Source organism: Homo sapiens, chromosome 11 (assembly GCF_000001405.40).
Source record: "Homo sapiens chromosome 11, GRCh38.p14 Primary Assembly".
Lineage (NCBI taxonomy): Eukaryota > Metazoa > Chordata > Mammalia > Primates > Hominidae > Homo > Homo sapiens.
Genome location: NC_000011.10, coordinates 86,720,352 through 86,746,601, shown reverse-complemented (window position 1 = coordinate 86,746,601; position 26,250 = coordinate 86,720,352). Strand labels below are relative to the sequence as shown.

At 41.2% G+C, this 26,250-nt stretch overlaps 4 annotated features.

Annotated features, from left to right (window-relative positions):
• Positions 4,931 to 5,544: an enhancer, noted in NCBI's record as "H3K27ac hESC enhancer chr11:86452100-86452713 (GRCh37/hg19 assembly coordinates)". NCBI's record gives its function as "activates a minimal SCP1, AML or CMV promoter by ChIP-STARR-seq in naive H9 embryonic stem cells {active_cell/tissue: H9 hESC(naive)}" and the evidence as "EXISTENCE:reporter gene assay evidence [ECO:0000049][PMID:30033119]".
• Positions 5,545 to 6,159: an enhancer, noted in NCBI's record as "NANOG-H3K27ac hESC enhancer chr11:86451485-86452099 (GRCh37/hg19 assembly coordinates)". NCBI's record gives its function as "activates a minimal SCP1, AML or CMV promoter by ChIP-STARR-seq in naive H9 embryonic stem cells {active_cell/tissue: H9 hESC(naive)}" and the evidence as "EXISTENCE:reporter gene assay evidence [ECO:0000049][PMID:30033119]".
• Positions 5,681 to 5,975: an enhancer, noted in NCBI's record as "tiled region #8285; HepG2 Activating DNase unmatched - State 8:EnhW, and K562 Activating DNase unmatched - State 5:Enh". NCBI's record gives its function as "activates a minimal TATA promoter and a strong SV40 promoter by Sharpr-MPRA in HepG2 and K562 cells {active_cell/tissue: HepG2 | K562}" and the evidence as "EXISTENCE:reporter gene assay evidence [ECO:0000049][PMID:27701403]".
• Positions 16,421 to 16,590: an enhancer, noted in NCBI's record as "experimental_21738 CRE fragment used in MPRA reporter constructs". NCBI's record gives its function as "activates a minimal promoter by MPRAs in K562 erythroleukemia cells, with activity observed for the introgressed 11:86441139 variant allele {active_cell/tissue: K562}" and the evidence as "EXISTENCE:reporter gene assay evidence [ECO:0000049][PMID:34662402]".

Below are 26,250 nucleotides of genomic sequence, written 5' to 3'. Positions count from 1 at the left end.
TAAGCCCCCTGGTAAAAAGATTTAAGTCCTTTTCCTGTCCTAGTGGATTCCTCAGCCCTCTTGCAAATCAGGGGATGACAATGAATCTGTGGGGAAAGGAGCAGTGCCACTATTTTTGGGAGGTGGGGCAATATTACCTGAAGCAGCAGTTCTTGCTCAGCCAAGATTTTTTTTTTATTAGATTTCAAACACAGGCAAAAGAACCAGTGCTTAGCCAACTAGTCATAGGCCTCTAATTAGAATCAAAGGTTAGTTTTGAGGTGGAAACTAACAGTTAATTTAGGTCAGTGTTTCCAAATTGTGAGCTACATACCCAGAGTCTGTGGATTACAATACTCCAATGCAGAGGATGCCAAACATCACCTAGACTATGAAGAAATAGCACATCCTGCCCACTCCACATGCATAGAATACTATTTTTCAAACATATGTGCCCCTGCTGAGATTAATAAACTATAAGCGCAACACAAAGTGTTATCGCATTCATGATCGTTTTAAACTGTTATGTGTTTTCTCTCTTTTTTTTTTTTTTTGGTTATGTGTTTTCTCAAACAACCAATATAAGAATTAATCTACATTTACATAGAGGTGGTTTTGGAAATTTTTTGACTTAAAAAATTGATCCTCGTATTGGAAAAGTTTGTGAAACTTTGTGCTAGAATTCTACCTCCTAGAATTACATGTTGGGGTGGCAGGGGGCATTGTAAAATGCAACCCAAGTCTAGGATTCTGTATCTAGCAGTCAAGCCCAGGGATCTGTTTTAGTTCACTCGCCCAGTGATTCATCTGCATACTGAAGTGTAGAACCTGAGATCAGGTCAACCCACTTATCCCATGGCTGAGGGAATTCAAGCTCCAGAGAAGGGAAGTGACTGGGCCAATGTCATAAAACATGTGGTCAATAGAACCTCCTTTATCCTATGTCTCCACCCCACAGCGAAAGGAAGAGCAAGCTACTCTCACCTGGGAGGTCCAGCTGGTGAAGACCACAAGAGACTGTCTCCAGTGGGTGAGGTGTTCTCCCTCCAAGGCTTTTACTATTCACCCTCGTCTCTCACAAATGCCCCAGATCAGGCTGGCCGGGCCACTACCTCACTGATCTCTATATGTTCAGCATTTTCTGTCTCTCCCAGCCCTTGCCAGAGCTTCTCCTGCTTCCTGATGTCCCACCTCATCCTGCCTATTCTCTCCAGTCCCAGTTCTGAATTGCTATTTTCTGAATGCTGTGTCCCCCTCAAATCTGTAGGTTGAAACCTATTCACCAAGTGATGGTGCCAGGTGGCGGGGCCTTTGGGAAGTGACTAGGTTACAGGGCAGAGCCCTCATGAATGGGACTCATACCCTTAGGAAAGAGCCTTGAGGGAGCTCATTTACTGCTTCCACATGTGTGGTCACAGAAAGAGGCATCATCTATGAACAAGAATACAGGCCCTCACCAGACACCAAATCTGCTGGTTTCTTGATCTTGGACTTCCCAACCTCTGGAGCTGTGAGGAATAAATTTCTGTTGTTCATAAGCCATCCAGTTTCTGATGTTTTTGTTATAGCAGCCCAAACAGACTCAAATACCAATTCTGTCTCAAAAATGTTTTTCAGGACCATCCTAAGCCTAAGTATCACTTTGTGGCCTTGAAACCCCTCCACACCCTGGAGTGTGCTTGTGTTTATACTGTTTTGTGTGTGGAGGATGGCTAGGTTGTGTTTCACATAATGTCTAATGCAGAGATGTGCTGAAGTTTCTTACTTGATGAATGAAAGTGCTCAAATGTGGATGACACAAACTCCAAAACTGTTTAGTGTGGAAATACTCACCATTTAGCCTTTTATTTATTTATAACCACTTTTTGAGCACTTTGTGTCATGCCCAAAGATGCAAAATGGACCAACTGTAGTCCTTCTTTCTCTTTCTTTTTTTTTTTTTCTTTGAGATGGAGTCTTGCTCTGTCGCCCAGGCTGGAGAGCAGTGGCGCGGTCTCAGCTCACTGCAAGCTCCGCCTCCCAGGTTCACACCATTCTCCTGCCTCAGCCTCCCAAGTAGCTGGGACTACAGGCACCCACCACCACGCCCGGTTAATTTTTTTGTATTTTAGTAGAGATGGGGTTTCACCATATTAGCCAGGATGGTCTCAATCTCCTGACCTCGTGATCCACCCACCTCGGCCTCCCAAAGTGCTGGGATTACAGGCGTGAGCCACCGCACCCGGCCAGTCCTTCTCTTAAGGGCTATGTGTGCTGATGGTAGTTTAGATCTCTGCTGCTGTTTGATTTTTTTGTATATTGGCAAAAACTTAATTTTTTTGTACCCCAATAAATGATTATTTAACATTGTAAACAATTAGCAAAATTGTGAGGAAGAGCAGTCATTAATGGAAATAAATCCTTAATGAATAATATAATATTTAATCAATTATAAAGCATATCCTATATTCCAGGCTATTTATGAACAGGATTTCATTTATTCCTCCATGCAACTCTTCAAGTGCACTGTTATTTCTGTTTTAATAATGGAAAAAATGAAGCAAGTGACTTGCCTAAGATCCTATCAAATGTGACACCGGAATTTAAATCCAGGTTTGTGTAATAACCAAGCCTGTGACCTTAATCACTGCTCTATGTCACCTCCCCTGTCCCCAGACAGCCTTTCTGCACCAGGGTTTCATAAACACTGAAGCATAAGCAGTTGCTAGGGGATAATGAATGACACTGAGTCACTAAGGGCAGCCAGCAGATCTGAAGTGATTGATGAATTTGTTACCAGTAAGTGGGGTTAGAAATTACAAAACAACATTAGAATCTATTGCACACAACCGCAAGCTGTCAGTGAGGTGAGACATGCAACAAGCCAAGGTATGTCTTTATTCTCTGATGCGCGGTTTGGTGTCTCAACAAGTCTTCCCAGCCATTTACCCCAGAGCCTGCTCTTTTTCAAGGGTGGTTCTCTAGAGGCAGTCTGGAGAAATTAGATTATAAAAGTTTGTCCCCAGCCTTTTTTGCCTGACTCATGGTGTGGTCTCAAGCCAGTGAGTCACCAACCTGTGACTCAGTTTTCACAGCCTACGCAGGGCTCAGAGTTTGACTGTTGGGCTCCCAGGGAATCCTGGGAATCCTGGGCTATACTTCTCTCCTTTGGCTTGTAAGAGTATCTTTTAAACTGTCAGAGGTGCTCATGGGTGGCCCAAGAACAAGGAAACTGAAGTGGCCTCACCAAGGGGGTCAGCCTCTGTTTCTGCTGATGCTATGTAATACTGAGTGTGGATCCTCTGCTCTGTGGGTGGTGCTCTGTGGCAACGGGCTGTCAGAGTGGACCAGTACTCTGAAGAGGAAAAAATTATCTGTGTGAAGAAACATGGATTCACTTCAAACCTGTCCTTTCCGAGCTACACTGAGTAAACTGGGACAGCTTCCGGTCCTCCATCCAGGTCACAACCCCACCCCCACAGTCCTCTGGGTAAACTCTGGTATGAAAAATTCATTTCGGATTTGACCAAGGAGCTCAGAAGTTTATGTGATGGGGAGCATAGACTATATCTTGGGAACAATTAGGTCTTCAAGAGGTCTCCATCCTCTGCCTACTTACAAACAGAACACAGCTCAGGTGAGCATCCTGGGAGACACCATTCCCAGTATGGGTTGTTTCAGCGATGGGACATAAGATGTTTGGAATGGGCTACTTCTTGCCATTAGTTCACCTGACATACCAAATATGATCAATATCAAGATTAAAAAAATGAGCATGACAACATATCCCCAAGATGTGGATTTTCAAGAAAAGGGCTCATGTACCTTCAGTCTTGGCCCTCAGCCAGGTCAAGAGTAGAGGAAAGGGTCAGAGGGACCAGCTTGGAGAGAGAATTAGAGAAGAGATTCCTTTGGAGAGAGCTGTTACAGCCCTCTCCCTTAGAGGGAGGCATGGAGGTGCTGCAGGAGAACGTGAAAAGATATTTCTTGCACGAGGGACCATAGAGAACTAGTCCTGAGTAATGTCTGGGAGAGCAGACCATGACTGGGTCCTGGCTCCTGCCCGCTGTGGGCAGAGGATGAGAGAGGAGTAACTTGCTGTCTAGGTTCAGGAACCAGGAGGTGTGCTGGGTGGGTTTGGAATGCATTCCCAGAGTTGTTCAAGGTCATTTCCTATGCACTAGATGTGGGACACACCAGAAAGAGAACCGTTCTGTGGGCCATCTTAGATCTTCTCTGAAAGTGCCTGTGAGAGAAGTGAAGGGATTTTCGCAGGAAGATTGGAAATGTGCTGCTCCTCAATGCCTCAAGTGGCTCCAGGAATGGCGACACATCTGTCAGGGTCAAGGTGACTGCAGGACAGAGGTCCCACAAAGGGACTTGGGAGCAACCCATGGCATGGCCCCTATGAGAAGAGTGCTGCTCTGGCTCACCCAGGGGATGCTTCCCTTGGCCAAAGACCAGACTCAAGTCAAATCTGTACTATTGCTTTACCTCTTCTCCTGCCCATGGCTTTAACTGTGTTGGATCTGAAACAGCAGAGAGAGAGAGAGTGGGGCAGGAGAGGTCCAGGACAGGAGAAGTCAACAGTGTATTATTATGCCATGAGTCATGCTTGTTCAACATACTGGTTATACAAACCAGAAAAGGTTTTGTCTGTTTTTCTTGGTTTGTTGACCTAATTACTAATACACATCTTTACTTTTCTCTTAGAGCCTGATCACATCCCTACCTTTCCATTCCTTCTTTCTGCATCTCATATTTTGTATACACTTCTATGATAGCACTCCATCTTGCATTATAACTGATTGCTTACCACTATTTCCATACTGAAAGATGTGTTCTTTGTGGCAGCAGCTGTATTTTATTTATGTTAATATTCTCTATATCCAGCTCAGTGATGCCATATGGTTGGTATGCAATCAATTCTTGTTAAATGAAAGACTAAATGAATATATGCATATTGATAGGAAGAACTTGGCAAAAGGGAGATATATTTAGGCCTTTTGAAGCTTCTTGAATCTCACCAGCTGGGCTGGGCTCATAGTTCCTGCTTGTAGTTCCATTCACATTCCCTAAAGACCTGGGTAGCTCTTTGAATATTTGGATTTGTTGAGGGGAATCCCAATTATACTCATTAGACAGCACATCCCTGAGGAGGGATGGAAACATTGAGAACACGCTCTCCATCAGGGTAAATAAAAGAAGGGAACTGAGCCACGCCTGTCCAATCTCAACAGAACCCTCTGTTGTACAGGAAACAGTGGAGAAATTGTTCATTTACATCTCATTCCTGATGGAAATATTCCAACTGCAAAGCCAGTGTCAGCTTTGATTTCCTGCCCTGAGAGGAGGCGCGGTCAAAAGGCACAAAGTGGGCTTGTGCAGTCAGAGGAATTAGGTTGGGTAAGAAGAGACTCTCACACTCCATCTTTGTTCAATGGTGGAACTTCTAGCTGGGGTGGTCAACCCAGCCCAGCCCAACCTTAGCCTTGGGGGCCTGTGAGGACTCCATTCTCTTAGAACCACAAGATATCAGGCGGAAGAGTGAAGGGCAGACCAGGCCTGAGGGTCAGTGCCCCAGTCCTTGGCTTGCTTCCTTGAAAAGAGCAAGCACTGAGAGGCCCTGGAGTTTTGGGAATCTGAGTGGCCAAGGGCAGGCAAACGAGAGGCCTATTCCAGGGCCTCCATTCCCAACCATTCCAGTTGCCTTGAAAAAGGAGGAATTCAAATAACCTGGAAAAGGCACTTACAGAGCAAAAGCACAGCCAGTTGCTATCTTACAGCTAATTTTAAAAATGTCCTTTTCTCTTGAAATTTCATCACCATGACTCATCGCACTGCAGGACAAAATTCTGAAGCTCTGAGTCAGACTGGGCACTGGGAGCTGAAGCTCAATGGGAGTTTTACCTAAATAAAGCCTGCAAGCCCAGCCTGCTGTGATACATGCTTAGAAATCTGCTGTTTCAGCAATGCACATGCCCTTGCACCTCTGCTGTTCATACAGTTGCCCACACCTTCCTTCTTCTCTTAGACATGAAGCCCCCCTCCCTTTTTTTCTGAACCTTCAGTTAGTGTGCTGTTATCTTCTGTGATAATTTAGTTCCTTTTCCATATCCAGTCTGCACTGCTATAGGTGCTTTGCTGATACTTGCTGCCTGAACAGGTGTGATGATAAAGCACACGTTTCAGAAAGAATCTAGGATCCTCTTCTCTAAATGCCAATCGAACTGATTGGTATTTAAATTTGGATCTTAGAATGTCAGAGTGGGAAGGAGCCTCATTCTCATGTTATCCACCCTCCCTGTCACTGTAGGTAAGAAATCCAAGACTCAGAGATATCGGCCAACTTGCCTGAGGTTAACACAGCCAGTCAGGATGAGAATCTAGACAAGAAGCCAGGGTCTGCTCATGTCTACATCTCTTTATTAGACTGTCTCTGTTTTTCTTTATTATATGTCCAGATTAATTCCTAAAAACCCACATCTGGGTATTGGAGGAGGGGGGTCATTTTTTGGGGACCTCTAGGAATGAGAATGGAAGGCAATGTTCAGGGCTGAACACCTGCTCCTTGGTATCCCTTGAGCTGCAGTCTGGTGACCTGAGAAGGTGGTTGTTGCACCCATGAAGGCAAGAGACCTGGAGATAGGCCATAGGAGGAAAGGTGGGACTGGTAGGGAGTGGCCTGGAGGCTGAAGACATATTCTCTATTCAGGGATGGTGGCAGTGGCAGGTTAATCAAAGCAACAGAGATGAGGAACTAGACCTATGGAAACTCTGGCTTGTCAACTGTCCTGGGACACATGGTGGGTATGGCTGTTATTGTAAATGAAGATGGGGGCCTGCAGTCAGATGGTAAGGTGGCTCTTGCATCAGGCTGTTGAAATCAGAATTTTGGGGGTTGCTACAGAGGCCCATTCACATGAGCTTAGGTGGAAAGAATCATTGTAAGAATATGGAGACCTCACAGGAAGCCAAGGATAGGTGCCATAGTGCAGCCAGGACCCCTTGGGCCTAAAATCAAGACTCTGTCAGGAGCCAAGGTGGCTAGCTCTAGGCTCCATTCTCTTTGGCTCTGTGTCTCTGTCTCCGATCCCTCTCACCCTCTGTCTCTTGGTGCCTTGTCTTCCCTTTTCTCCTGCCTGCAGTGCTCCTCACTGTAGTTTGCCCATGGCTCAGAATGGCTGCCCCTGTATTGAGTCCATCTCATTAACCTTTGGCTTCATAGCTAACTGGCTATGATTTTTCCAGACTCTAAAATCGTAAGAGAGGAACAAAATTGGCCCCGATCTCATATTTGGTTCTGGTCACAGACATCCCAGTTCTCCCCATGGATTAGCTGTTTATGTCAGATGTCCAATCAACTGTGGCTGTAGGGTTAGGGTCTCCAGGGCACAGCGTGTCAGTAGGGAATGGAGGAAGTTTAGACCATGGAGACACAGATTCCAGCTCTGCCATTTATAGGATCTGTGACTTTGGTCAATGCTCCTTACTTCTCTGAGCCTTAAGTTCCTACTCATCTGTAAAATAATACCAACTTCACAAGGTTGTAATTGCCTGTTGGGTTCTTCCTGCCCTCTGCACAGTCAAAATCTGTTCACTGAGGTTGGGGCATTGCAGTAGAGAAAGAGTTTAATCGACACAAGGCCAGCCCATACAGGAGAACTGGAATTCTCACTCAATTCAGTCTCCTTGAAGGCTCAGAGCTTAGGGGTTTTATGCACAAGTTGGTGGGTAGGGGGCTGGGAAATGGGTGCTGCTTATTGGTTGGGGTTGAAAGAGTAGAGGTGTGGAAAATGGTCCTCATGCAGTGAGTTTGCCTCTGGGTAGAGCCACAGGATTAGCTGAGTCATGAGTCAGAGTCCAGGAGGGGTCAGTCTGAAAGATATCTCAAAAAATCAATTTTAGGTTCTACAATAGTGACACTATCTATAGAAGCAATTAGGGAAGCCACAAATTTTATAACCTCTGGCCACATGACTCCTGAGCGGTAAGGGATTATAGAAACTATGCCAACACTTTAGCAGAATTCGGGCCCTTCCCAGAATCCTATTCTAGTTTACAAAGATAGTTTTCGAAAATAAAATAAAATAAAATAAAAACCCCACAAAGGGAGTTTTCAGTCCCCGAGCAAGGAAAGAGTTCATTTTAGGGAGGGACTATTATCATCCTTGCTTTTCAGTTAACCATAAACTAAATTCTACCCAAGGTTATCTTGGCCTATGCCCAGGAATGACCAAGGACAAGTTGGAGGTCAGAAGCAAGATGGAGACAACTATTTTAGATTTCTCTTACTGTTGTAAGTTTGCAAAGGTGGTTTCAAGGTTGTTGAGAAGACCAAATAAATATGTATAGAATCAACCCATGCCTTGTATACGGCAAATACTCAATAAATGTTTGCTGTCATGGACTAGTATTGATTTAACAGAACCAGAGTCTTGGGCATTCACAGCATATCTTGGCCTACTGCTTTTTGAACCTCTCTCTCTTTTGTCTTATTCCATTTGGAATCTTTTTTCTTCTCCCTCTTTATGTTTCTTAATTTTTCCTTTGTTGTCAGTGCTGCAACACAATGCATGAGGATTTCACAATAGGATGCATTGGAGCCAATGTTTTCCACTTGGATATGACTTACACACTCTGCCCTGCTGTTGTCAATAACAATAAAGGGGTGGAGGGTGTGGTTTACTGTACTGAATAATGCTGTGATCTGTGTTTTTGAAAACTGCTCCAACAAAGGAAGGAAGTTGTCTATGGTGACACTGCTGGCTTTTATAACATAAATATGAAGCTCTGTGTTATTGTTTGGCAAAAATCCCAAAATTTCCTTCAAGAATCTCAGGCCAAGTTGAGAGCCATCTATAAAATGCAGAGCTATATTCAATAAAAAGCAAAAATTACTCCAGATGCCAAAAATCCTTATAAACAAATACTTTGCCAAACATACACAGTCTTTTCTCTCTCCTGATCAGTCTCCCATCTGTATACAGTGCAAGGTCACTGTCTGGAAAGCTCAGTGTGTGAGATGCCCATGAGAATGTCAGGGAGTTGGGACTGGTCTTGGGGGAGACAGACTACTGGGAACTTAGGAAATTAGAGAATTAGGTTACAATGGGTAAAAGGGCCAAGAGATGGAGAATAAGTGCTAACAGAGCCATGGTGAAAGTTGGCCTGTTCCAGGTTAGAGCAGGGAGGGGTGATGCAAAAACAGAAGGAGAATCTATGGTAAAAATCTGGGCCATTCCAAAAGTGTCATTAAAAACTATGCCAGGGCCTGGGCTGGCTTCATGTGCATGTAACTTGTTTAAACACACAGGGTTTCACACTCAGAAGAGCCTCATGCTTGACTCAATGTCCTGTTGCTGCTATCTCCAAATTTGTAATAATTTTTGAACAAGAAACTCTACATTTTAATTTTGCACTGGGCCCTAAAAATGATGTTACCAATCCTGACCAGGGAGAATTGAACCAAAGACTCATTTCCAGAAATTAAAGCTGGAAGAAAGAATGAGGGAAGGATGAAAGAGTGACCACTCTTGGTTATCAGAGCAGGGAACAAGTACGGCAAAAAGTCACTTTGGAACCTAACCGAACGAGGCAGAGGTCAGTGACCCATCCTGAATGAGCAAGGACTGCGGCAACAGCTGACACCCCCAGTATGGGCTGTGCCTTGAAGTGTGCCTGGCTCAGGGTGCTACAGAGCACTGGCCTTAGGAAAGCTGCCCTGTGGCAGGTGTCAATCCCTATTCAATCAGCTGTGGCCACATGGACAGGGTCTCATGGGCACAGCCAATCAACAGGGAGGGAGAGAAGCAGAGACAAAGTACAGGCAAAGGAGGGTTCCAGACAGACAGAGCTAGATAGAGATTTCAGCCCTGCCACTTACACGTGTTGTGACTTTGGGCAAGCCTCCGGACTTCTCTAAACCTTGGTTTCTTCATACGTAAAATGAGGGAAACAATACCTATTCACAAGGTTGATGAGAAGATCAGATGAGATGTAGTATATAAAGTTCTTACCGCTTTGCCTGGCACATGTAAATAATCAAGTTACTATGACAAACTAGGGTTGGTTTAACAGAACCAGGTTTAAGGAAAGTATGTTCTAATTCCACTGACTGTGATCATGGGCACACTACTTTACATCTCTGAGCCTCAGTTTTCTCCTAAGTAACAGGGAGATAGAAATCTAATACCTAAGACAGTGCCTTGTACGTAGCAGGTACTCACTAACTGTACATTAAATGAGTGAGTGAAGCTATGCATCCTGCTCCACTGCAATAGGGAATCTGAAAGCTATTTGCAAAGCTGCAAAGAGCTTTACAACCATAATAATTACCTTTTTGTTGAATCCAGAGAGTCAGATTTGTAACTTCTCGGGGGGTAGAAATCAAATATGTTTGTGGTCACCTCACCCTGAAAATAAAATAACTTTCTGCGCACTTGCCTGCTTGGGGATTTGGGTCACTCTTTTGTTACTGGCATCATTGCATAGCTAACTAATCCCAGTGTAAATAAATTGGGCTGGGAGTTTTTGCATTGCTCCCCTGCCCTCCCCCAGGTGTTTTTTTCTAGCATAAAAGGGAAATAATGTGATCATAAGGATACCACACATCAAAAAGTATACTTAATGGCAAGACATTCAATATGCGTGTGCCTAAATCAGATGAATTCAGAGCATATCATTTCTTTTCATTATAGCTCATGAAGCATGAAGTGTATTTAGGGAGAAAAAAAACTCATTCATCAGCCTCAGAGATGCCAAGAAAGGAAATGCCTTATGTATGAATGATAAAAAGCACATATTTTTCTTGCTCTGAGTTTACATATCCCATATGGGATAAAAGGAAATCCAAGTGTCACCACCATACCAAGTGCCTCAGATGAGAAGAGTTTCTCAGTCTTCAAGGGTAAAATAACAGTGTGGACACCAAAAGGCCAAAGGTGAGCTTGACCAAACTGGAGGGACCTTGAGACTCAGTAGATTATTAAGGCATTCCACATGTTCTGCTTTGGATGATGGCAGTGTGACATGGTTAACAATTGCTACTGAGGTACATCTGGCTAAATCTCCATGAAAAATCTGTGCTCTTTCTTCCACTGTATAGAGTTGTGGTTGCTGAGGCAAGGGCTATGTCTCCTAGGCCTCTAGCATTAGGTGTGGTTGTACAGATAAGTTCTCACAATGGAATGTGAGTGGAAACGATGTGTGTATATCTTTGGAGAAATATCAATACAAATTTTTTGCCCATTTTTATTTGGGTTACTTGTCTTTTTATTGTTGAATTGTAATAGTTCTTTATTAGTCCCTTATCAGATATATGATTTGCAAATTTTATTTCCCATTTTGAAAGTTACTTCTTGCTTTCTTGATAGCATTCTATGAAACACACAGTTTTAAACTGTGAAAATCCAACTTACCTTTTTTTTGTCGTTGCTTGTGCTTTTGGTGTTACATTTAAGAAATCTTTGCCTAATTCAAGTTCACAAAGATTTGCACCTATGTTTTATTCTAAGAATTTCATATATTTAGCACTTACATTTTGGTCTTTGAGCCATTTCGAGTTAATTTTTGTATATGGTGTAAAGTAGGAGTCCAACTTTATTTTGCATGTGGATATCCAGTTGCCCCAGCACGACTTGTCAAAATAACCTTTCACCATTTGTCGAAATAAGTTTTTCTATTGAACATGTTGGCACCCTTTTTGAAAATCAATGGACTAGGCTTTATTTCTTGGTCTGAATTCTATTTTATATATATATATACACACACATATATATATACACACACTATATATATAATATATATGTATATTGTATATATATATAATATATATGTATATTGTATATATATATAATATATATGTATATTGTATATATATATAATATATATGTATATTGTATATATATATAATATATATGTATATTGTATATATATATAATATATATGTATATTGTGTATATATATATAGAGAGAGAGAGTCTTATGCTAGTATCATGCTGTCTTGATTGCTGTAGCTTTGTAGTAAGTTTTGAAATCAGAAACTGAATGAGTCTTTCTATTTTGTTCTTTTTCAAGATTGTTTTGCCTTTTCTGAATCTTTGCATTTCCATTTGAATTTAGGATAGCTTGTTTGTTGAATTCTGTAAAAAAAAAAAAAAAGCAGCTAGGATTTTGTTAGGATTGTGTTGACTCTGTAGATCAATTTGGGAAGTATTGCCATCTTAATAACATTGTCTTCCAGTCCATGAACATAGGATGTCTTTCCATTCATTTAGATCTTTAAATTCTCTCCATAATGTTTTATAATTTTTAATATGTATTTCTTGTGGCTGGGCACAGTGGCTCATGCCTGTAATCCCAGCACTTTGGGAGGCCGAGGCAGGTGGATCACCCAAGGTCAGGAGTTCAAGACCAGCCTGGCCAACATGGTGAAACCCTGTCTCTACTAAAAATAGAAAAATTAGCTGGGTGTGGCGATGGGCCTCTATAGTCCTAGCTACTTGTCATGCTGAGGCAGGAGAATCACTTGAACCCAGGAGGTGCAGGTTGCAGTGGGCTGAGATCACACCACTGCACTCCAGCCTGGGTGACAGAGCAAGACTCTGTCTCAAAAACACCTATATATATCTATACAGATATGCATTTTGGTTACATTTATTCCTAGGCATTTCATTCTTTTTGATGCTGCTATAAATGGAATTGTTTTCTTAATTTTAAGATTATTCATTGCTAGTATATAAAAATACAACTGATTTTTTTTTATCCTGAAACTTTGCTATACTTATTTATTGGCTCTTATAGTTTTATTTTGGTTTGGTTTTTAGCTCTTTGTTTCTTTGCTTGTTTATATTCCTTAGGATTTTTATATACAAGTTCATTTCGTTTGATAGTGGAGACAGTTTTACTTCTTCCTTTCCACTATGGAACCCTTTTATTTTTTTTCTTGCCTAATTCAATACAATGTTGAATTGAAGTGGCAAGTCTGTATACATTCTTGTCCTGTTTTTGATTTTAGAGGGAAAGTCTCAAGTCTTTCACCATTAACCATGATGATAGCTGTGGGTTTTTCATAGGTGCCCTTCATTAGGTTGAGGAACTTACCTTCTATTCCCAGTTGAATATTTTTTTATGAAACATAGTTAGATTTTGTCGAATATATTTTCTGCATCTACTGAAATGATTGTGATTTTAATCTCTATTGATATAATGTATTACATTGTTTAATGTTTATATATTAAACCAAACTTACATTCCTGGGATAAATTCAGGTCATGGTATATAATCATCTTTTTATGTTGTTAAATTTGGTTTGCTAATATTTTGTTGAAGATTCTTGCATCTATATTCATAAAAGATATTTGTCTATAATTTTCTTTTCTTGTGATATCTTTGGTTCTGCTATCAGGTAATACTGGCCTTAAAAATGAGTTGGGAAATGTTTCCTATTTTTTGGAAGAGTTTGTGAAGGATTAGTGTTAATTCTTTTTTTTTTTTTTAATTTTTATTTTTATTGATCATTCTTGGGTGTTTCTCACAGAGAGGGATTTGGCAGGGTCATAGGACAATAGTGGAGGGAAGGTCAGCAGATAAACAAGTGAACAAAGGTCTCTGGTTTTCCTAGGCAGAGGACCCTGAGGCCTTCCACAGTGTTTGTGTCCCTGGGTACTTGAGATTAGGGAGTGGTGATGACTCTGCCTTCAAGCATCTGTTTAACAAAGCACATCTTGCACTGCCCTTAATCCATTTAACCCTGAGTGGACACAGCACATGTTTCAGAGAGCACAGGGTTGGGGGGTAAGGTCACAGATCAACAGGATCCCAAGGCAGAAGAATTTTTCTTAGTACAGAACAAAATGAAAAGTCTCCCATGTCTACTTCTTTCCACACAGACACGGCAACCATCCGATTTCTCAATCTTTTCCCCACCTTTCCCCGCTTTCTATTCCACAAAACCACCATTGTCATCATGGCCCGTTCTCAATGAGCTGTTGGGCACACCTCCCAGACGGGGTGGCGGCCGGGCAGAGGGGCTCCTCACTTCCCAGTAGGGGCGGCCGGGCAGAGGCGCCCCTCACCTCCCGGGTGGGGCGGCTGGCCAGGCGAGGGGCTGACCCCCCCACCTCCCTCCCAGACAGGGCGGCTGGCCGGGCGGGGGGCTGACCCCCCCACCTCCCTCCCTGACGGTGCGGCTGCCGGGTGGAGACGCTCCTCACTTCCCAGACGGGGTGGCTGCCGGGCGGAGGGGCTCCTCACTTCTCAGACGGGGCGGCTGCCGGGCGGAGGGTCTCCTCACTTCTCAGATGGGGCGGTTGCCAGGCGGAGGGTCTCCTCCCTTCTCAGATGGGGCGGCTGGGCAGAGACGCTCCTCACCTCCCAGACGGGGTTGCGACCGGGCAGAGGCGCTCCTCACATCCCAGATGGGGCGGCGGGGCAAAGGCACTCCCCACATCTCAGATGATGGCCAGCCGGGCAGAGACGCTCCTCACTTCCTAGATGGGATGGCGGCCGGGAAGAGGCGCTCCTCACTTCCTAGATGGGATGGCGGCGGGCAGAGACGCTCCTCACTTTCCAGACTGGGCAGCCAGGCAGAGGGGCTCCTCACATCCCAGACGATGGGTGGCCAGGCAGAGACGCTCCTCACCTCCCAGACGGGGTGGCGGCCGGGCAGAGGCTGCAATCTCGGCACTTTGGGAGGCCAAGGCAGGCGGCTGGGAGGTGGAGGTTGTAGCGAGCCGAGATCACGCCACTGTACTCCAGCCTGGGCACCATTGAGCACTGAGTGAACCAGACACCGTCTGCAATCCTGGCACCTCCGGAGGCCGAGGCTGGCGGATCACTCGCGGTTAGGAGCTGGAGGCCAGCCCGGCCAACACAGCGAAACCCCGTCTCCACCAAAAAAATACGAAAACCAGTCAGGCGTGGCGGCACGCGCCTGCAATCGCAGGCACTCGGCAGGCTGAGGCGGGAGAATCAGGCAGGGAGGTTGCAGTGAGCCGAGATGGCAGCAGTACAGTCCAGCTTCGGCTCGGCATCAGAGGGAGACCGTGGAAAGAGAGGGAGAGGGAGACCGTGGGGAGAGGGAGAGGAGGGAGAGGGAGAGGGAGAGGGAGAGGGCCAATTGATTTTCAACGACAATGACCTAGTGTTAATTCTTTTTAAAGGAAATTTTTGTACCAATAAATCTATCTAGTTTTGGGCTTTTCTTTGAGTAAAGTGTTTGATTACTAATTCAATTTATTTATTTGTTATAGGCCTATTCAAATATTTATTCCTTCTTGAATCAGTTTCAGTAGTTTGTGGCTTTCTAAGAATTTGTCCATTTCATTTAGGTGATCTAATTTGTTTACTTACAATAGTTCATAGTATTCCTTTACAATTCTATTTCTGTAAGGTTGATAACAATATCTCCTCTATCACTGTTGATTGTAGTAATTTGGGTCTTCTCCCCCTCTCTTTCTTTTCCTGGTCAGTCTAGTTAAATAAGGTTTGTGGATTTATTCATTTAAAGTTTCATTCTTAATAACTAATTTTTGGTTTTGTTAAATTTTTTTCTATTAGTTTTCTATTCTCTATTTAGTTTATTTGCATTCTGGTCTTTATTATTTCCTTTTTTCTACCTGCTTGGGTTTAGTTTGTTCTTGACTTGAAGCTTTTCCTTTTTGAGGTCTTTATTCTTTTTTTTAAATATAGGAATTTATAGCCCTTGTGAATTCTTGCAGCAACCTTACAAAGGGGTAGAATTATCCCTATTTTCAATGTGGAAACTGAGATAATCTAAATGACTTATTTAAGGTCATATAGCCAGTCAGTGGCAGAACTGAAATTATAATATCAGTTTTCTAAATGGGAAACAAGGGATTAAAATTTAAACTCTTATATTTTCTCTTTGCTACCTTGCTTCTAAAATATTAACATATCCCCCTGAAGAAATGATTCCCTATTTAATAAGTGGTGTTGGGAAAACTGGCTAGCCATATGCAGAAAACTGAAACTGGACCCCTTCCTTACACCTTATATAAAAAATTAACTCAAGATGGATTAAAGACTTAAGCATAAGACCTAAAACCATAAAAATTCTAGAAGAAAACCTAGGCAGTACCATTCAGGACATAGGCATGGGCAAAGACTTCATGTCTAAAACACCAAAAGCAATGGCAACAAAAGCCAAAATTGACAAATGGGATCTAATTAAACTAAAGAACATCTGCACAGAAAAAGAAATTGCATCAGAGTAAACAGGCAACCTACAGAATGGGAGAAAATTTTTGCAATATACCCACCTGAGAAAGGGCTAATATCCAGAATCTACAAAGAACTTAAACAAATTTACAAGAAAAAACCAAAAAACCCTATCAAGAAGTGGGCAAAGGATATGAAGAGACACTTCTCAAAAGAAGACATTTATGCAGCCAACAAACATATGAAAAAATGCTCATCATCACTGGTTATTAGAGAAGTGCAAATCAAAGCCACAGTGAAATACCATCTCACGCCAGTTAGAACGGCGATCATTAAAAAGTCAGGAAACAACAGACACTGGAGAGAATGTGGAGAAATAGGAATACCTTTACACTGTTGGTGGGAGTGTAAATTAGTGCCACCATTGTAGAAAACACTGTGGCAATTCCTCAAGAATCTAGAACTAGAAATACCATTTGACCCAGCAATCCCATTACTGGGTATATACCCGAAGGGTTATAAATCATTCTACTATAAAGACACATGCACACATATGTTTATAGCAGAACTATTCACATTAGCAAAGACTTGGAACCAATTCAAATGTCCATCAGTGATAGACTGGATAAAGAAAATGTGGCACATATACACTATGGAATACTATGCAGCCATAAAAAAGGATGAGTTCATGTCCTATGCAGGGACATGGATGAAGCTGGAGACCATCATTCTCAGCAAATTAACACAGGAACAGAAAACCAAACACTGCATGTTCTCACTCATAAGTGGGAGTTGAACAATGAGAACTCATGGACACACAGAGGGGAATATCACACACCAGGGCCTGTTGGGGGGTGGGGGGCTAGGTGAGGGATAGCATTAGGAGAAATACCTCATGTAGGTGACGGGTTGATGGGTGCAGCAAACCACCATGGCACGTGTATACCTATGTGACAAAACTGCATGTTCTGCACATGTACCACAGAACTTAAAGTATAATAATAATAAATTAAATTAAATTAAAATTTTAAAAAGTCCCCTTGAAAATTGTAGCACCACATTTTATGCCACACTGTTTCATACTATTCTGTAACCATTGTGATCATTGTGTGTACATGTGTGAGTGTATTTTGAAAGTTCAAGGAAAGCATATTCTTTGAGGGTAGAAAGTATTCTATGAACTTCTGTATGTGACCAACTCAGAGCAATAATTAGTTTAACATATGTATACACTAATAGAATATACACATTACCCTTTCCCTTGTATTATACTACTTTATTTTCACCAAAATCCTATTGATAAGTGATACTACTGGATCCAGAAGCTCAAAAATGTTAGCATGTGGCCAGACCAGTGTTCATAAGAGGTGGGTTATAGACATAAATCCAGGTGACAATTTCAAATTTTGTGCTCTTTCTATTCTACATGTTTATAATGAAGGTAAAATGGAGTGCCTTAAAAATGATGTTTAATTCATTCATTCATTTATGTATTCCAAAAATATTTATTGATCCTATTATGTGCCAGGCATTGTGCAAAGTACTGGTGATAAGTGGTAAGCAAAATCAGGCATGATCCTTTTACTCATGGTTCTTACCATCTAGTGGGCTAGACAGGTATTAATCAAGTGGTCACACCAATAAATGTATAGTTACAACTGTGATAAACTGTAGGACATAGACTTGCATCAGATGAATAAATAATGAGGCAATCTGACTGGTAAGCTAGACAGAGTAAGGCTTCCCTATGAAATATTGCTTTACAGAATTCTGAAGTTAAGTAAGTAGGAGCTAAGTGGAAGGCAGGTAAAGAGCATTCCAGCTAGAAATAACAGGCTGTGCAAATGTTCTGTTGTGGCCTCAGCTCTTTGAGAAATCCAAGTGTTTTGTTTACTCTATTTAAAACATTGTATTCAAAACCAATATGACATGTTACAACTGAACAGGAAAACAATGCTATGTGTGAAAAAGGCAAGTTAATCCCAGCTTTTGCAAAGCCTGATTTATCTTCCCCTCTGCTTATCAAGCACTCACATTGAGGGTAAGGAAAGGAACAAAAAAGGAGGCAATATTACTAAAAATTTTTAAATACAAATCTGTGCATGTCACTCCCTGCTTAAAACATTTCTGTCTCTTCATTGTATACAATAAGGGTTTTATGCATAAACAAGTTTTAGGAAGCAGAGGGTTGAACAATTTTAATTTTAATAGTAATATATTTATTTTAATGTATAATTATTAAAATTACACTAGTGATTTCACATATTTTTTTCTCAGGGGGAAGCTCAAGTAGTTATGCCTATGGTAATTCATCTTACAAAGTTGACATGGATTACAGGAGCATTTTTCAGCCATGCCCAGTGATTTTTTAAAACCTCAGTAACCAAATCTCTGCCTCTACATTCCAGGGGTATACATTGTGCAGATGATATAAATTGTTAGTATGGATCTTCACATCCTGAATTTCCATGTACAGTGCTATGCGTTTCTAAACCATATATTAAAACATCACTTCCAATGGTACACAGGTATAAAGATACCAGCCAATGGTTTTTGAATTCTTTTTAGGTGTCAGGCACTGTTTGTAAGCACTTGACATGTAGTAACACACTGAGCCTTCATAACATTTCTATGAGGTATCATCTCCATTCTGCAATGAAGAATTGGAGCACAGAGAGGTTAGGTAATTTTCCCAAGGTCACGCTGCCAGTAAGCAGCAAAGCATAGATACAAACCTGAACTTGCAGCTCTGGTGGCCCTGCTATTAACCACCATAGCACAGAATTGGCCAAAACAGTGATGGTGGGACAAAGGAACAAAGTTGGGCTAACAGGAATACAGGATGGAGTCTAAATTCCTCATGAGGTACAGAAGCCCCCTTTCTCCTTTTTTTAGCCTTGTTTCCTGCCCTTCATCTCATGCCCCACTAAAGTACTCGCCCATCCCCAGCTGTGTCAGGACCCAGGAGGCCTCTGGCTTCATTGGAGCACTGGCCCACTGCTCAGGCTCTTAGTGCTTACAGACCCAGACCCCGATCCTCCACTCATGGCTGTATCTGCAGCTTCCAGTGCAGAGCTCCACACATAGCATCTTGTCCAGTGTTGCATCAAAGAATATTAGAGCTGAAAGAGAAGTCATGCAGGGCAATTTTGTGATTTTCAAGATAAGGAAACAGATGAATAGGGAAGGAGAGCACATTGCCCAAAGTCATACATCAAGTTACAGACAGAAATGAGCCGAGTCCTGCTTCCTAAGCAGAGGCCTTTGCTTATACATGTGGCTGTCAACCACTTCTTCCTTTAAGAACCTTGGGAAAAATCCAAGACAAAAAAAAAAAGAACTAGGATACAGGTAGAAGGGCACTTTGGTTGCCTATTTCCATGCTTTCGTTAACTCTTAAACACATTCCAAGTACTCCAAAGTGATTTAGAAACCCCAGAGTAGCCTGGAAGTTGAAGCTGCTGTGAAAGGGATGGATCTCTCTGTTGCCTGTGGGGCATATGCTAAGCAGAAGTATAGCACTTATAGTGTTAATGCACACTACTAATTCGTGAATGAATCCATAATGCATCTGGGAAGATATGAAAGATTCACTCATGCCAAGGAGAAAAACTTCATGTAGAAAGTAAGATATTTGCCCAAAGGCACATAAAGACTCACGAGCAGGGATTAAGCTTTAGGTGCCCTTCAACCTGATTCCATCTGACTATCCACCAAAATCACTCTCCCTGCAGTGAAGACACAATTCATTCATTCTTCATTCATTCAACACACTGGTTGGGTGACCACTCTGTATCAGGCACTGTACCTGACACAGGGAATTCAGATGACTAAGCAACATTATGGTCAGGAAAGTCACCAGGACACCTACCCACAAGAGAGTGGTGAAAGACAGAACCAGAATCTGAGTAAGGTGCACATGGGATTCCAGAGGAGGGAGTCATACTGGTGTAGTCTTCACATATGACCTGCTTTGAATTCTTTCTTTCCAACTTTCTAGCTCTGGGACTTTTAGTGGGCTACTTAGCAGCTCTTGGTCTCAGTTAGCTTGACTTAAAGTGGAAAGAATGTGAAATAATAGTATCTACTGCATAGGGTTGATATGAGGATTAAGAGAAAAAACACCTGTAAAGCAGTTAGAGTTGTGGTGACTCGCTGGTGCTCTTGAAAGGGCTTGTTCATTGTCAGAGGTCAAAGGTTTCCTGTGCTAGTCCTAGCTCTACCATAGCCATGTTACCCGAGTCAGAGACTTAACTTTCCTGCTGGACTCATCTTTAGTAGCAGGATGGTCCACCAAAGACCAAAGATATATTTTCTCCCTATTCTTGAGCAAAGAAACTACCATAAAACCACTTTAAATTTTTGTTTGTTTGTTTCCATAGGTTTGTGGAATATAAGTGGTATTTGGTTACATGAGTAAGTTCTTTAGTGGTGATTTGTGAGATTTTGGTTTACCCATCACCCAAGCAGGATATACTGAACCTAATTTGTAGTCTTTTATCCCTCACCCACTTCCCACCTTTTTCCCCCTAAGTCCCCAAAGTCCATTGTATCATTCTTATGCCTTTGCATCCTCATCAGAAAACCACTTTGGACTCCCAGAGGACAGCCTCCAACAAAGAAGTAGGTATAGGGTACCCTGTGAGTCTCCCTTGGAAGGTGTGTTAGTTTGCTAGGGCTGCTGTAAGAAAGTACCTCAGATGGGTGGCTCAACAACACACATTTTTCTCACAGTTCTAGGGGCGAGAAGTCCTCTAGAAATCAAGATGTTGGCAGGGTTGGTTCCTTCTGAGGGTGGTGAGGGAAGAATCTGTTCCAAGCCACTCTTGTTGGCTTACAGATGGTCATCTTCTGTTTAGAACGTGTCACACTGTCTTCCCTCTATGTGTGTCTCTGTTTCTAAATGTTCCATTTTTATAAGGACCCTAGTCATACTGGATTAGAGCCTACCCTGATGACCTCACATTAACTTGATTACCTCTGTAAAGACCCATTTCCAAATAAGGTCACATTCTGAGGTGCTGGAGGTTAGGACTTTAACATATAAAATTTGAGGGAACACAATTCAACCCATAATGGAAGGGAAGATAAAATGGGAATCTTCAGAAAAGAAATGTTTTAATATAAACATATGGGAGGGAGTATTGTTCACTAATACCTATTTCTCTTCTTAGGGATAATTAAATTTCCCTGCCCTCTTAAAGTTAGTTTTGGCCATATAATTTGTTTTGGTCCATAAAATGCAAGAAGAGATGGCACTGTGTCATTTCTAGGCAGAAATGTATGAGCCAGTTGTACTTTTTCTTACCACTACTATTTGCAATGTTTCGAGTGATTCCTGCTCTATCGGCCTGGGTCCCAGAGTGAGGATGACTGTTATGAGTAGAGTTGTGGGAGTGGGTGAAAACTAAATCCTTATTTGTATAAGCAACTAAGATTTTCAGGTTCTTTGTTACCTCAGCATACCCTAGAAAAGAGAGACAAACTCTGACTCTTGGACCTAATCCTGCTTGCCACTGTTTTTGTAAATAAAGTTTTATTAGAACATAATCATTCTCAGTCCTTTGCCTATTGTCTATGGCTGCTTTCAAACTACAGTAGTCTTCACTTATCCTTGTTATATATTCCAAGACCTCCACTGGATGCCTGAAACCATAAATAGTACCAAACCTTATATATGCTGTGTTTTATTCCTATTCTGTACATATATATGTAATATAAAGTTTAATTTATAATCTGGCACAGTAAGAGATTAACAACAAAAACTAATAAGAAAATAGAACAATTATAATGATATATGTTAATAAAAGTTTTTTTCTCTCTCCTTCTTAAATCAAGAACTTTCACCTTTTGACTTAAAGGAAGCATTTCACTGTTTCTCTTTGGTTTATCAGAACTATCGGTATCACTATTCTTGTGCATTGGAGCCATTATTAAGTAAAAATAAAGGTTACTTGAACACAAGCTCTGTGTTATCAATCTGATAACAAAAATGGCTACTAAGTAATTAATGGCCATGTAGTGTCTACAGCATGGATGTGCTGAACAAAAGGATGATTGACATTCTGGTGTGCAGAGTGGAACAGGGTGAGCTTTCATCATGCTACTCAGAAAGGTGAGTAATTTAAAATTTATGAGTTGTTTATGACTGGAACTTTTCATTCAATATTTTCAGACCTCATTTGACCACAGGTAACTGAAACTATGGAAAGTAAAACTGTGGATAGGAGGCAACTACTGTATAATGGCAGAGTTAGTTCAGTAGATGTGACAGAGACTGTATGGTCTGCAAATACTAAAATATTAACTATCTATGGCTTTAGAGAAAAATTTTGCCAGCCTCAGTCTAGGTAATTTTTATTGATAAAATATATTTAAGGCTTTACTTTTTTTTTTTTTTTTTTTTGAGATGAAGTATTGCTCTGTCACCCGGGCTGGAGTGCAGTGGCACAATCTCGGCGCACTGCAACCTCCACCTCCTAGGTTCAAGCAATTCTCCTGCCTCAGCCTCCCAAGTAGCTGGGATTACAGGTATGTGCCACCACGCCTGGCTAATTTTTGTATTTTTAGTAGAGATGGGATTTCACCATGTTGGCCAGGCTGGTCTCAAACTGACTGGTCTCTAATTCCTGACCTCGTGATCTGCCCGCCTTGACCTCCCAAAGTGCTGGGATTACAGATATAAGCCACCACGCCCGCCCTAATTTTTCTTTTGAGTTTTGCTTTGGCAATATTCCACAAACTTTCATATGTAGTGTAATAATTACTCACTTATAAATAGTTTATAATTTGCTTCTAATTCTCTTTTTAATCTGAGTTATTTAAGAGTAGAATTAGTTTGATTTTGTTGTGGATGACTATCTTTATGTTGCTAATAAGTACTATTACACTGTGGCCAGAGAATGTGGTATGTATTATTCTATTTTGGAAATTCACTGAATTTTTTGTGGCCAAATTTATATCCTATGTTTGTAAATGACCCACATGCTTTTGAAAGGAATGTGTAGTTTCCTATATAAGATGGTGAGTTCTTTCTCTGTCTCCGACTCTTTCTTCCTCTCTCTCTTCATATATGTGATCAAGATTGTTAATAGTGTTATTCAGATCATGTTCATTCTTACTTTTTTTGGCTTTTTCACTTGCCTATTTCTAAGATAATATGTTAACTTCCTCCTGTATTATTTTGAATCTGTCAATAATTACTTTATATGTCTAATTTTTTTCTTTGTATATTTTGAAGCTATGATTTTATGTACATACAACTTGATGCCTCTTATATCTTCCTGGTGAATTGTACCTTTAGTGAGTTTAAAACATCTTTTTTGTCATTAACATCTTTTATTCTTGAAATGTGCTTTGTCTGGTATTAATGCTTTTATGCCTTGCTTTCATTTTGTTAACATTTGTCTGTTTTGTTTCTTAACATTTCTAACTTTTAAACTGATCTTTTTATTGTTTAATTTAGGAGTGTCTTTGGACATTCTTAAAAACCAGGCTGAGAGTCTTTGTCTTTTACTAGAAAAAGTTAATCCATTCATGTTTATTGTCATTACAAATATATTGGGATTTTTTTTTTTGTATTTTTGTCTTCTATTTAAATTGTTTTTTTGTTTTCAGTTTCTCTTTTCTGCTTTAATGAAATTATTGAAAAATTTTTCATTTCTTTCTTTTTTCTTCTGCTAGTTGGATTAGATCAAACTCCAGTTCTATTCCTCTTGGTTATGGAAGTTAGTATGACACAGCCCTTCTACAGTAAAAAAGTCTCTATAAATAAGATCAACTGGGGAAATTAGATTTCCAGCTAATAAGACAAGTGGATCTCAAAGTATGAATTGTAAAAATAGGAGATGTGATCATAATTGTGCACAAAATTTATAGGAAATTTTTATTGCATATAAAATGGAGATAATAATTTGATATGCTTTTCCTGTGTTACAGGAAGGAAAAGAAGATAAAAAGGAAAATAAAAGTGAGCTCTATTCTGTTGATGTTTATGTTAAGCTAGTTATAGTTTTATTTAAGCAAATTATTTAAACTAATGCTCAAAGCTTTAGCCTTACCTATGAATTAAAAGTGATTGGACAAATTTCCAGGCACAAGAAAATACATAAGCCTATCTCTAGGTCAATACTGACTTTTCCCTATCTGCAAAGTTTCCTTTCTACACTGAAACCCTCTGAGCAGACGAAAAGCTACAAATTAAGAGAGATGACTCAGTGTGGCTGCCTCCCTTAAGGGTTCCAAGTACATTTCCTAACAAATTTTCATGAGCAATCTGTGTGATTTTTTATAAATCAAAAGAGGGAATTGTATCTGTTTAATGGTTGCTCTAATTTTGTTTACACAACTCAAAATCTTGTTTACATGTCCTAGCTTTTTACTTTTTTGTCTCTGCTCACATCCAGTTCATTCTCCTTTCCTAATGTTTCATCTCACATTTCACTGATTAATTCATTTGTTTATTTATTGGTCAAGATTGACTGAGTGCCTATAAAAATGGCAGATACTAACAATACACAGATAAACAAAATGTACTTCTTTCCCTTGTTAAGGCTTGGAAAACAGTACCCTAAAGTATGGCACTTTGGCATGCTGAGTTCTTGGAACTAAAGGAGATTGGAAGGCCTCAGAAGCGTCTTTCTGAGCTTTGCCTGCCCTCCTGCCTCCCACTCTTCTTTCTCTTCCAAAGCAAATCATTGAAATCAGATTTCCTCTTCCTCAAGATGGGTCATGGAAACTAGAACTCCTCTTCTGCAAAGCAAGCTATAAAAGATGGAAAGAGCACTCTGTCCCTTCTCCCTTAAAGACCATCAATCCAGAGGGGTCCTGCCCCATGCCACAGAGAAACGAATGCTACCCAGAGAGGCCAAGAAAAATCTGGACAGCTCTTGCTGAGTTTCCCTCCTCCCTCTTAGTCTACTTCTGTTAGATCATATCCTTTTGCCCAATCACATTTCTACATGGTTGTCCATTCTTCATCAAACCTAAGCATAAAAATGCACAGTTTTCTCTGGGTCTTTGAGTCTTCATTTCTGAAGGCTCCCATGACACATAAAACTGTGATTAAATACATTTGTTATGCTTTTCTCTTTTTAACCTCTCTTTTGTTATGGAGTAATGGCTGTGGTCCTTATCATGGGTGAAGAAAGGTATCCCACTTTCCAGTCCCTACACCCTCCAAGGTACAGAAGCTGGTTCTTAAGGGATGAATAGTAGGAACTTTATATAAATGGAGAGAAGTCCAGGCAGAGTTAAAAGTATGTACAGAATCCTTTTCTACCACCATGGTTCTTTTCTAATATGTCTGGGATAACTTTAGGGTACCAGGTGATGACAAAGAGAGGTTTAGGAAAGTCCCTTTACTGAGGAAATGACAAGAAATTCATTCTGACCTTTCAGTGTGGGAAAGAGCCCTACTGCCTGGGACGCATTTTCACTCTTGGGAGCACTGGTAGATGGTTCCTGAAATCAGTGTCAGAGACACCAAAGAGGATAAAGATACAGGAGGCAAGAGATGGATTTAAATCATTAACTCTGGGATCATCTGGAGAGATGGAGCCACAATCCTCTAAGTCCAATATTGATTTCTATGCGGAAAAATTCTGCCTAGAGCTGGGACAGATCCAAGTTCTGTGGAGCCTGTTGATTTTACAACTGGGGGCAGGGATGAGGGGGAGGAGGGAAACTTGTAAAGAAAATGAATACAAAGTTACAAATTGAAAACAGAGGCAGAACTTAGAAGGGGCCCATATAAGTGAGTGTCCCTGGAGCTCGCATTTTATTGGCTTCCTGGTAAATCTACTTCTGACCAGAGCTTCATCAGTGGAGGGAGGGAAACATTTGGAATCTTCTTGTGTATCTGTGCTGTGAAGACACTGGGATTTGTTTTGTTAGCATGTTTCACAGGATGCAGCCCATTCAGGTATTCTTTAGCATCAAATTTATCCAACCCTTTTGGGTATCAAAGTTTGGATCCATGCAAGTGGCCAAGAAGAATGTGTTTCTTGAGTGTCACAGGGACCTTGGGATGCAAGTATTTTCTCTGGGAGGGTTGTTAGTCCTCAGAAAAAACACCATTCCTTTCATGGCCTGTGAGAGCTGTGGACCTGC